At 47.7% G+C, this 12,701-nt stretch overlaps 1 protein-coding gene across 7 annotated transcripts in view; it reads right to left on the bottom strand.

Annotated features, from left to right (window-relative positions):
- Positions 1 to 3,991: 3,991 nt before the first annotated feature.
- DMRTC1B (DMRT like family C1B) overlaps positions 3,992 to 12,701 on the bottom strand; it is a 71,914-nt gene continuing 63,204 nt past the window's right edge. For 2 of the 7 annotated variants that reach the window (NM_001386972.1, XM_047442419.1), the window contains exons 2-7: positions 7,596 to 7,753; positions 7,238 to 7,296; positions 6,790 to 6,923; positions 5,850 to 5,910; positions 5,518 to 5,665; positions 3,992 to 4,532 (exon numbers count right to left, since the gene is read on the bottom strand). In NM_001386972.1, coding sequence (NP_001373901.1) covers positions 4,420 to 4,532; positions 5,518 to 5,665; positions 5,850 to 5,910; positions 6,790 to 6,923; positions 7,238 to 7,296; positions 7,596 to 7,659 — 579 coding nt within the window. In that variant the 5' untranslated portion in view covers positions 7,660 to 7,753 and the 3' untranslated portion in view covers positions 3,992 to 4,419. Of the gene's footprint in view, positions 4,533 to 5,517; positions 5,666 to 5,849; positions 5,911 to 6,789; positions 6,924 to 7,237; positions 7,297 to 7,595; positions 7,754 to 9,444; positions 9,554 to 9,686; positions 9,929 to 9,950; positions 10,010 to 12,701 lie in introns of those variants that run through there. The other 5 variants (NR_170369.1, NR_170368.1, NM_001080851.2 and 2 more) reach the window with 4 other exon arrangements.

Raw genomic sequence — 12,701 nt, 5'->3', positions numbered from 1 at the left:
TCTTAACCGTATGGAAAAGATGTGCAGCCTTGCACATGTGAAGGGAAACGCAAGCTAATGTATGCACTAATATATCATTTATCTCCTATCAGATGGGCAAATTCAAAAATCTGGCAATACTACTGGTGAGATGCTGGGAAAACTTTCTTTCTCCGATATTGATGGGGAAAAGGCAAATGGTCCATCCTTCTTGAAGAGGTATTTGACAGTAATGAGCAAGATACCTTGTGTTTTCACCTTTTAAGCAGCAATGGTACATCTAGGGATCAATCCCAAAGATGTAGTGATATAAAAATTGCTAAAGATTATGTCAGGAGCCTATCCATTGCAGCCATATTTAAAATAATAGCGAGAGCCAGGTGCGGTGGCTCACGCCTGTAATCCCAGCACTTTGGGAGGCCGAGGCAGGTGGATCACCTGAGGTCAGGAGTTCGAGACCAGCCTGGCTAGCATGGTGAAACCCCGTTTCTACTAAAAGAAAAAATAAAATAAAATAATAGCAAGAATAGAAACAACCAGAGTGTCCATCAATAGAAGACCAGTTGACCACACTATGGTAGGTCCACACAATGGAGTACCCTCTAGTTGTCGTGAGGAGTGAGGGATGTCTGCAGGGAGGACTGTGGAGTGATCTCAAGGATATCTTTTTTTTTTCTGAGGTGGAGTCTCGCTCTGTCGCCCAGGCTGGAGAGCAGTGACGCGATCTTAGTTCGCTGCGGCCTCTGCCTCCCGGGTTCAAACAATTCTCCTGCCTCAGCCTCCTGAGTAGCTGGGATTACAGGCACCCACTACCACGCCTGACTAATTTTTGTATTTTTAGTAGAGACGGGGTTTTACCATGTTGGCCAGACTGGTCCCAAACTCCTGACCTCAAGTGATCCACCTGCCTCGGCCTCCCAAAATGTTGGGATTACAGGCGTGAGCCACCACGCCGGCCTCAAGGATTTCTCTTTTTTCACTTTTAGTAACTTTGTTTATTCATGTGTCTTTAACCACTTCAGTACATGCATTACATTGTAGCTAACACATCTACTCACTGAAATAACACAGTTCTCAACGTGGGGAACAAGTGGCATTTATAGAAATTTTTCTTATATGTGTGACTTTAAATGCTTCACAAGATGCATAATAGTGTGGTCAGTACATCCATTCACTGAAATAACACTGTTCTCAGCTTGGCGATCAGGTAGCCTCAAGGATGTGTTTTTAAGTTTTTAAAAAAGGCGAGGTGGAGAAGTTTATGTATTAACAGCTTATGCAGCATTTATCTAAGCAGGAGGCGAGAGTGTAATGAATGTCAGTCTCTCTAAAGAGAGATACAGGTCCAATGGCCAGGTAATACCGGTTGCCCCCATTTCTCTAGCCTTTAAGAAATCTGTTGACAAAAAAGAAAAGAGAAATCTGTTGAATATAACCGTGTATGGATGGGTTTTGCCAATTCTGAGATCCCTACCACTCACCTCTACCCGACTTTGGCCCCCTCCAAGAATGCGCATTCCCACATAAATGGTTTTGACTGTTTATTCCGCTCAATATTTGTCCCAGGTCTTTCCATTTTTTAATTTAAAAATAATACTTTCCCATACATTTTAGGCTGTTCTTGATCAGAAACCAGCAGTAGCAGCCCTTTATGGCCCTGCAGTGTTAGCGGAACCTACTTTGGAAAAGCTGTCTTTCTGGGCAAGGGTTGAAAGTGGCGGAGTGCTGGAGCTGGCTCTTACCAGAACATAAGAGCCAACCATAAGATTTTCAAGAATTTTGTGAGCCAGTTGTTAAATACAGCCATTATTAAAAACTACATTATATAAACTAACAATCACATCAATTATATTGAAAACAAACATAATATATGCTAAAAAATATCAATCCCTAATTATTTTTCTACGTTGTACTGTTATCTGTGTTCTTGTGGTTATTTACATTTATGGTATCCGAATGGTAAAAATACATCTCTTCCCAACTCTGCGTTCACTGACATCACTTTGATATCTTGCATTCGGCAAATGCAACAACCCAGGGCATTTCCCCCAACCTTCCTTTCCCCTGAGAGCCAGTTGCTAAACCTGTACCTGCACACTAATGGTTGAAATTGATCCACTCTACAGAAGCTCTGATGTGATGGGTATGCTCAGATCTAACCAATGCTGTTATGTGACATACACGAGTCAAGACATAACTCACAGTGCTCTACACAGCCATGTTTTAAATCTATGAACAGGGGTAGTACACGGCTAAGGGAAGTACACGAAAAAGGTTTGATATTTAACATTCACAAAGATGTCCTAAGATGCCAAAAATACACCATTATGAGACTTTAGAAAAAGTGTGTGTGTGTATGGGGGGAGGGGGGCATCAGGAAAATAAAAGGGGACAGGGAAAAGGGCCTCACTGCTTCCCCCAATGCCCATCACTTTATTTCTGTTTTTCCTCCCTCTTCTCATGCCACATCCTTTAACCAAAATATGCCTCCTCTTTCACCCAAGTCAACTGTGGGACTGTGGTGTGCCTAGGACACGATTTCATAGCAGGATCTTAGTCCTCTTCCAGGTACTACCGCTTCATTCCTCCAGAAATATGTGGACTTGTTCATCCATCACTAGGAAAGGAGGGGCTTTGGGATCATTTGTTCGAGTAACAAATCAGGGAAGAAGGAAGGTGTGAGCTGGACTTCAGTCTAGTCTTGCTCCGAGTCTGAGTGACTTTGCACGTTTGTTTCTCTGCCATCAGATCAAGAATATAAGAATCCTGACTTCTCGGGGTCTCAAAAAAGAAAGGACAAGTTGTAATTGGATGTCATCCGAATCAATTGTCTTGGGTAAAGTACTGGGAGGGAAGAAAGGAGGGAGATAATAGCATGGAAAAGGGCCCATATCCAGGCATGTCCAATTGAGCTTTCTTTCTGCCTGGTGGGGGGTCTCCAGGTCTTCATTTGTTTAGAATATCAGCAGAGGACTGGGAAACCAGTGCAGGTAAGAAAGATCTGATCGATTACTACATATTGTTGTTACCTTGAGTAAGAAATAAAGGGACTATTTTGGAAAAACCCTCTGACTGATGTTTGTTGCTTTGAGTTTTGAACCTTTTATTCAATGCTTTATTTAAAAATCGAATTATTCGCTGATTTAGGGCCTGATAAAGACAAGGGAGTGTTCGCTGATCTTTGGCTTAAAATTTCCCCCAAACCACTTCTGCAAGTCACTTTCATTCTTTGAGTGTGTTTCCTCATAGGCAAAATGGCAATAATAATGCTCAGCTTGCAAAGTTGCCGTGAGGCTGTATGTGCTTAGTGCGGTGTGCACAGAATAAATAAAAGGTAGTGATGCTTCCTCATATTTCATGGGTCCTTCAAAAACAGGGTCTGAGTCTAACTCATTTCTCCTGTTTGATTCTTCTTGTCCTGATTGGCCTCAGTTTCCCCCACTGTAAAATTCACATTGGTCTAGAACAAAACTGGCATTTCCCTTGGCCAAAACTGTCCTTCAAGGAAGTTTGGTTTGGCCCAGATATAGGGCTTAAAGAAGAAACCCGAGCCAACGTTTAAAGTTGAGTGATTTTATGTAGAAATCTAGAATTCCATCTTCTCTTGAAAAAACAGTCAATTTGGCCACCATGAGTCGCTATCCCTGCATGGCAACAATTGCCTGGAGCCAAGCAGCAGCTGCCCACTTACGCAGAGCATACACTGTCAGTTTGGCCAGAGGCCATCGGGCCTGCTCTACTCATTTACATGATCTGCTTGATCCTACAGGCATTGCCACTTACGGCCCTCTGGGCAACTGGAAACAGTCTATGCCAGGCAGAGGGTAGGTACTTCCTTGCTCAATGAATACATACCCTACTCTTTTTCCTCTACCATTTTCTTATCTAGCCATGTTAGGAAATCCCAGTTATTGGATAAGGTGATTCTCACTTTGAAACATGAATTGAACAAATCGGTTAGAGTCGCGATAGTCTGGGTTATACTGTGGTAACAAACAACCCGTATATCACAGTGCCTTATAACAACAACGGTTTATTATTTGTTCACGTACATAAACCTAGACACAAAGTGAAAACATCTTCATGTTTCCACATGCAGGGGTATACACATGAGTGCACAGGTATGTCAGCAATCACAAGACGAATAAAAACTCTGGCATATGAACTCACACAGAACCCCACTGAGAGACTGATCAACTTAGATTGCACAATCCTGTCTTTATGAGACAGAAAAAGGCCCCAGCATCCAAAAGAGTAAGGGACAGAGGTACAAGAATATCCACCCTCAGCCAAGGAGTTGCCCCATATAATAAAAAGCTTATAAAACACCTGAAGGCTTTAAAAAAAGACGTTAAGCGTTTTGGACGTTAACCATTTTGCACATTCAGAAACTGGATACCAAATAGGCAGTGCTCTATTGAGGCCTCCTCCTCTGGGTTCCTAGCTCAAGAGGGAGATGCATCCCAGATGTCCAATAGGCAGCGAGATGGAGCTGGCTGGCCTGGGGCGGAGAGAGGGGCTGGGAGGCTGGAATCCTTTATCTCCAGCAGGAGCTGTGGACAGAAAGGAAGGGGCCAGAGCCAGGTCACATCCACATCCCCTTCCAGATCTACTGTTTTTATGCGTCCCACCCAACCAAAGATTTGTCACCTGGACTGTTGCATAGACCTCTTCCTCTCTGATTTCCCCATCTCCCATCTTGCCTCCCCCAATCCTTCCATCAAAGCCACCACAACTCTTTTTGTCAAGCTCAGGGTCTCTGAAATTGTTCTCCCTAGCTCAGAAAACGTTCCCTGGCTCCTCACTACCCACAGTTGCTGGTCCAGCCTCCTAAGCCTGACCTGTCAGACCTCTGTGATTGGTATCCTCTCCAGCCTCATCCCTTTCTGTTCCAGCAGTCCCTCCAGGGGTGTTTCTTCACTGACACACCATGCTCCATTCACCATTTGGATCTGGGAATGCCTAGCCTTCCCTCCCAGCCTCCCCAGTTGTTTATCCCCCCTCGGAGCTCCTCCAGCCCCTCCTCTCTGGGCACATCGTTAAAATTTGGCCACAAAACACAGCTTGCAAGGGCATCCAGGCTCCACATCTAGACTGGAAGCTCCCGGAAGGCAGAGACCAGACCTCCTTCCAGACCAAGCCCTTTATCACCTCTGTATGTCCTCCCCAGACCACAGTAGGCCACAGGCGGCTGAGCATAGACCCTGGGCTGAAAGTCAAGAGGGCCGGTTCTTCCACTTGATATGCTGCATGCATATCAGAGAGGGCAAGTCCCTGCCACTCTCAGGGCCTCAGCTTCCTTCTTTCTTGACATCAGGGCACTGAACGCTTGCTGTTGCACACAAAGCTCAATAAACCGAAGATTCAATAAACAGCCCTCAACTACCATCTCGGGAGTCATACTGAGGAGCTTGGGTGCCTGGCCCCAAGGAGATTCAACTTACTGACTCTGATTTTTCAGTTAGAACCTGCTTACCACAACGACCCCCATTCCCCAGCTATTCCCACCCTGTATTCTCCTTTCAGGGAGCAGGCTACCTGGTGGGTTGCAAGGCTGGTGCAGGGAGATGGAGTCAGGAGGGGCCTGGGCAGAGTTTCTCAGAGTCAGCAGAGCCTCAGCGGCCTCCAGCTTCCGCTGCCACTCTGAGTGGGCAGAAACCAAAGCCTGGTCAGAGACTTTGGGGACCTGGAAAGGAAAGTGCATGAGAGAATAGGCACTGGGAAACTACACCTCTTCCCAATACGACAAGTGCCCCTTCAGCCCCCTGTTCCCTCAACCTCCTCCCCCACCCCCACCAAGGCCTTCTGCTCTTCCCATCCACTAAACTCCGCCCCTCCCAGGGTTCTGGACCCCACTACTTTCCCAGGACCTGTGGCTGCAGTAGAAGAGGGTCAAGGGTGGCACAGGGCTGGAGGATCAGAGTTGAGCATCTAGAAACAAGGAAAGGAGAGGCCAGGGGATTAAATCCGCTGGCGGACACATACTACCAGTAGACAGAAAGAGGGGCAGGATTTTGCAGTATCTGGATGTGAGAATCCCAATGCCTGCTGGACCATTAGTCATTGTGGCTGGGGCAAGTCCCTTCTCCTGCTTGGCCAGGTTTCTTTTCCATACCTCTTTTTCCTGACAGGGACGCTTATTCCTACCAGCTCTTTCCTCCCAGGGCAATGGTGAAAATCATGGGAAATTACAGGTGTCCGTGCTTTAATTTGCAAAACACCTGGAGAGATGTGATTACTGTCCCTCTTCAGGGACTGGTTCTCACTTCCATATTGCCCAGTCCCCATGGGTCTTGAAGGGTCTCCAGGAAGCTTTCTCTAATGGCCTCTGGGCTTTGCCCTGGGCCTCTGTGGCCCTCGCCAGCACGGACCCCACCTTTCAGCAGGACCTTCTATCCCATCCACCTGTTTCATGTGGCATAACAACCCCCATTTGTTGAAGCCCTACTATGTGGCAGGCCTTGTGCCCGTTCCCTTTTCAATGCTATGGGTATAGAATATTGTCCTCAGTACATCCATAGGGAAATGGAGGTTCAGACACATAAAGTCACTTGTCCAAAGTCTCACAAATAGAAAATAGCAAAGCTAGGAGAGCCCTGTCCTCGCCCGTTAGTATTAGATGCTGCCTTGCCCTCCTCCTTCTTCTCCTCCTCCTCCTCTCCCTCCTCCTCCTCCTCCTCCTCCTGCTCCTCCTCCCCCTCCACCACCTCCTCCTCCTCCTCCCCCTCTTCCTCCTCCATCTCCCACGGCATCAAGGACAAGGTTAGGCACACAAGACACAACCTGCTCCATGGTCCTCACGCTACTCACATGCTGGGCAGGGCAGGGGCCCTGTGGGGATCCCCAGAAGGAGAAACCAGTTGCTGCTCCAAGGTCACTGGAGTACAGGGCAGAGACAAAGGTTCTGGGGCCTGGCCAAGCAGCAGAGCCCCTTGGGAGCTCCCCTGCAGGGGCAGAGAGCACAGGTTGCAGTCAGGTACCAGGCCAGCCATGGAGAGAGGAGGTGTGGACATGTTTTAGGATGAGGATAGGAGCCTAGAATGTCAGAGCTCCGAAGACCTTGAAGACCAGCCAGTCTTGCCTTTCATTTTGCAACTGGGGAAATTGAGGCCCAGGGAGGAGAAGTGATATTTCCCAAGGTCACATGGTGAGCTGGTGATAGGATTGGAGATGAAACCCATGTCCTTGGGACACGGTGAAAGATGTCTGGACAGTGGCTGGGTGGGAGCCTGCCCGACTGGTCACCGACTCTCCTTACCTCCTCGGGGGCTGTGAAGATGTGGGTCTCGGGCTGCAGCATGTTGTTCTCCTTCCCAGCTGTGAAAGACCAGGAACAGCTTTGGTGAGTCTTTCCCCCAACCCCACCCCACTTCACCCCACCTCCAGTCGCAGGTCTCATCTCACCATGGAGCTCTTCGATTGCCCTGTCCCCCAGCTCTCTCCTTCCTACAAACACTTGGTAGACAACATTGGTGACATTTTGCACCTGGGCACACTAAGGTCCAGGGAGCAATTTGCCCCAGGTCGCACTGCAATTCTGTGACAGGACTGGTGACAGAACCACTCATGCTTCCTCCACCCAAACTCTGGCTCCCTCCCTTGCCAGAAACACTCACTGAGGGCTCCTGCTCTGATGGTCAAATTCCTGACACGGATGGGAGCTTTGGGAGGGGCAGCCATACTCCTTATTGGTCCTTGAGCCAGGTGTCTCTTTGATCGTGCCCGCTGCTCCCTCTTCAAGGCACTCACAGCAGGCAAGACCCTGAGGCGTTCTCTGAAGCAAAGGATAGCAGGGCTAAGATTAGTCCCATTTAGAGGAGGTCTGGCCCCTCCGCATCTCAGACACCATACTCATGAGAAGAGGGCACAATTGTGACACTCGCAGGCCTGGAAGAGGCAGAAATGCTTGTGGCCCCTGATTTGGGCAGTGATACCCAAATGGTTGTGGCAGCGGTCACAGCAACCTATAGCTCTTCTGGGGCCAAGTTCAGTCCCCCATGGGGCTCCAGTCTGACGCCCTGTGGTGCATTCAGAGTCAGAGGGGCAGCAGGGTGCAGCGGGTATTTATTTGTCCTCAGTACATCCATAGGGAAATGGAGGTTCAGACACACGGGATCCATGCTTCTAGGGTCAGGAGCGGAGGTCAGAATGGCCACGTGATCCCCTACCCCCAACGTACTTCCTCTGCCCTTGGAAAACCCTATCTGAGGTGGCTCAATGCTCCTTCTCCATCCTTCTCACCGCTGGAATCAGATTGCCTTCCCTCCCCTTCTTCTCCCATGGTTTTCGCCAACCTTCACTGCAACCCCCTTGCTGATGTTGCCTCCTTCCCAGAAGCCCCACTCACACATAGCCCCCTCCCAAGAAACTCTTGGAATGGATCCCATACCCATTCAATGCAGTCATTATTCTCCTTGCTTACCGTCACTTCACCATAGACCCCACTTTCAGGCATGCACATGCACTCCCCTGCCCTCTTCCACCATTACTACACGCCCTTCTTGTGTATCATCCTGCACTCTGCCAAACCCAAGTATTATTCCTGGCATCCACTTCACCAATTCTCTTCAGAACCTCCTGCATTCATTCACTCCCCGCACAGGATTTTGTGCCACCAGCACTCAATTCCATTGTCAGTCTCTTCTATGCCCTATATTCAATTTTCCCCTCACATTTCATGCTGGTTCATGCTGATTTTTTTCTTGTACTCCACCTTACACTTAATTATTCCCTTGCTCCCCCTTTGAGCTGATTTCCCTCTTGTATCCCATGAAATCATATTGTTCTCCTGGATCCCTGGCCCTCTTTCAGTTACTAATTTCATTCATCCCTTCATGCATCCCCCCCGGCCTTTTTTTTTTTTTTTTTTTTTGAGACGGAGTTTCACTCGTTACCCAGGCTGGAGGGCAATGGTGTGATCTCGGCTCACTGCAACCTCTGCCTCCCGGGTTCAAGTGATTCTCCTGCCTCATCCTCACGAGTAGCTGGGATTACAGGTGCCTGCCACCACGCCTGGCTAATTTTTTGTATTTTTTTTTTTTTTAGACGGAGTCTCGCTCTGTCGCCCAGGCGGGAGTGCAGTGGCGCAATCTCGGCTCACTGCAAGCTCCGCCTCCCGGGTTCACGCCATTCTCCTGCCTCAGCCTCCCGCGTAGCTGGGACTACAGGCGCCCGCCATCACGCCCGGCTAATTTTTTTGTACTTTTAGTAGAGACGGGGTTTCGCCGTGTTAGCCAGGATGGTCTCGATCTCCTGACCTCGTGATCCGCCCGCCTCGGCCTCCCAAAGTGCTGGGATTACAGGCGTGAGCCACCGCGCCCCGCCATTTTTTGTATTTTTTAATAGAGACGGGGTTTCACATGTTGGCCAGGCTGATCCACCTGCCTCGGCCTCCCAAGGTGCTGGGATTACAGGCGTGAGCCACCGGGCCCGGCCGATTCCCTTGATTCTTCATTCAGCAGGTACCTGTTGAGCCTCCTATGAAGTGTCAGGTTCTGATCTAGCCAGTAGGGAACTCCTCAGTGCAGTAGTGTTTCTCTTGGACTCACACACCTTTTCTGCTTTCATGAAAACCCACACATTCCCTCCACAGCCTCCCCAAAATCTTCCATAATCCTCTCCACACTTCAACAATTGTGCTTGAGCACACCATTTCCCCCCACCCCCACCCCACCCCACACACGCAGTCCCACCACCCTGGAGCGCACCACTTCCTCAGGAAGCCCAATCATCCACTCCCTCCCGGACCTCCGAATCAAAAGCAATCCCATGAGCCCTGCCTCATTGGCCAAAGGCCAGGGCTCAGGGGGCTGGAGCAAGGAGTCCTCCCGAAAGGGATTCCGGGAGAGCTGAGGGCGCGATGGGACATCAGGAGCAGTTGGGGGTTCCCTGCTGAGGTAGCAGAGAGGGGAAGGGGTTGGGAATCTGGCTCAGGAGGGTGGGAGGAAATAAGAGGCGTGGAGAACGAGGACCTAATTCTGATGTCAGCCTGTGGTTGCCTCAGCCTCCGGCAAGTCAGAACCAGTCAGACGGTCTGAGGGAAGATCCAGCTTCTGCTTCCCTTCCCGCTCTTGCCACAAAGGCCAATGAGCTCTTGCGCTGCCTTCGACCTCCCGCCGCTGTGGCTGGCGACCAATGAACCTCGAGATCTCTTGACGCTCACGTTCTGAGGCCACGCCCCCATCACCTCCCCGTAGCTTCTCCCGCTCCCTGTACTAGGTCAGTCAAGAAATCGTGAAGTGATCGTTGAGCTTTATGCTCCCCAGGGCTTGTTTCCCAGATTAGTCTCCCTTTGGGTGTGAAATATTTGGTGTGCATGCATTTATAACTCATGTACTTGGTATTTTGTAATTTACCTTTTAAAAATTCAGCATGTGATTAAAGATCCATCCATATTTCCATGCCGCGGATTCCCAATCAGTGGTGACTTTGCAACCCCCAGGGAACAATGCTTGGAGACACTTTCGTCCATATTTGTGTGTCTCTGTTTATGAACTCCCTGTTATGTTCCACAGATAAATGTGTCTATTCCTGTACCACTACTAAATTGTCTTAAATTTTTTCACTTCGCAATACATCTTGACATCTGCTAGGGCAAGTCCCTGCATGGTGTTCATCATCTCCAAACACATCTTTGCTATTCTTTGCCATTCTTTGCCTTCTTGTCCTTCCGCACGAATTAGTATGCAATGTCAAGTCTCCCCAGACTCAGTCGTAACAGCTTTGGATTGCATTTTCACTGAATCTATGGATCAGTTAGGGGGAGAATCTACTATCTGTAGAATACTCAGCCTTCCTGTTCACCAACTTGGGATGTCTCCACTTATGTGCGTCCTTAATGTTTTAATCTTTCAGTTCAGTTTTTAGTTTCATCTTTTGTATATTTAGATCTTGCACATCATTTATTGTATTTATTCCAAGATACTGTAGATTGTTGCTGTTCTTGTACTTGATGTCTGTTTAAAAGGACAATTTCTATTTGGATCGAATTTACAGAAATGCCTTTAACTTTTAAAAACGTGACTTGATCTTAAAGTCTGTCAACATGCTAAACTCTATAGTAGGCGTTCTGGGATTATCTGTGAGTTTATGCATAGTAGAAATAGAATTGAAGTTATGGGGGTTTTTTGTTTGTTTGTTTTTTTTTTTTTTTTTTTGGTTGGTTGGCTGTTTGTTTTTTAACAGCGCTGGCTAGGAAATTTAGTACCAGATCTAATAGCGACAGCAAAATTGGGCTTCTTTGGGTTGTTCCGGATTTTAAAAGGAATGCTGCCAGCATTTCCATATTAATATTGTTTCCTTGTGTTTTCCTTAACTTTTCGTTTCCTTTTCTTTGCTTTCCTTTCCCTTCCCTTCCCTTCCCTTCCCTTCCCTTCCTTTCCTTTCCGTTCTTTCCTTTCCTCCTTCCTTCCTTCCTTTCTTCTTCCTCTCTCCCTACACCACACCACCTCCACCCCCGAATGTCTTAGGCCTTTTGTCCTTCTGCATAAATTAGCATGCAATTTCAAGTTTCCCAAAAACTCGGTTGTAACAGATTTGGACTGCATTTTCACTGAATCTATGGATCAGTTATGGGAGAATCCATTATCTCTAGAATACCCAGCCTAGGTAACTTCCCAGGTTTTTTCCAAAACCTTCAGCCAAGTTTAACTTATAATCCAAAAGGTTAAAAAATCATAAATGTATATCTTAATCAGTTTTCTATCTCTTTCTTTCTTTTCCTTTCTTTCTTTCTTACCCTTTCTTTCTCCCTTTCTCTCTCTCTTTCTCTTTCTCCTTCCTTCCTTCCTCCCTCCCTCCTTCCCTCCCTCCCACCCTTCCTTCCTTCCTTCCTTCCTTCCTTCCTTGGGCTGCTTTCTTTATTTGATTTGTAAACAAAGAAGAAACAAAAAAGCAGCCCCTCACTCTGTCACCCAGGCTGCTGAAGTGCAGTGTCGTGATCTTGGCTCACTGCAACCTCCACCTCCTGGGCTCAAGCAATCCTCCTGCCTCAGCCTCTCAAGTACCTGGGACTACAGGCACACGACCATCCCCAGCTAATTTTCGTATATTTTGTAGAGACGGGGTTTCTCCATGTTGCCCAGGCTATCGTGAACTCCTGGGACTACAGGCACACGACCATCCCCAGCTAATTTTCGTATATTTTGTAGAGACGGGGTTTCTCCATGTTGCCCAGGCTATCGTGAACTCCTGGGCCCAAGCAGTCCGCCCGACAAAAGTGCTGGGATTACAGGTGTGAGCCACCAAGCCAGGCCTCTTAATGAGTTTTCAAAAATTAAATATACGCATGCAATTAGTATCTAGAACAGGCAACAAAATATATGAGCAACACACAAACCTCTCTCGGGTCCCCTTCCAGTTACAGCTTTGCTAATGTCAAACCAGCTTTCCTCTCCCATAGTAAATGTAACTTAGCTATGGTGTATTAATTTTTTTGTGTATGGTACATTAGAGCAGTGGTCCTAAAACACTAGCTTGCATCAGAATCACCCAGAGGGCTTGATAAAACAAAGATTTCTGAGCTCCGTATCTGTATTCTCAGACGACAAGATCTGGGGTGGGACCCAGAGTTTGCTTTGCTTTGCTTTGCTTTGCTTTGCTTTGCTTTGCTTTGCTTTGCTTTGCTTTGCTTTTTCTCTTTGCTTTGCTTTGCTTTTTCTCTTTTCTTTCTTTCTTTTTTTTTTTTTTTTTGACGGAGTTTCGCTCTTGTTGCCCAGGTTTCA

The sequence above is a fragment of the Homo sapiens genome, chromosome X, assembly GCF_000001405.40.
Source record: "Homo sapiens chromosome X, GRCh38.p14 Primary Assembly".
In the NCBI taxonomy this organism is placed as follows: Eukaryota; Metazoa; Chordata; class Mammalia; order Primates; family Hominidae; genus Homo; species Homo sapiens.
Note: the sequence above shows the minus strand (reverse complement) of the source record. Positions and strands in the feature narration are given on the sequence as shown.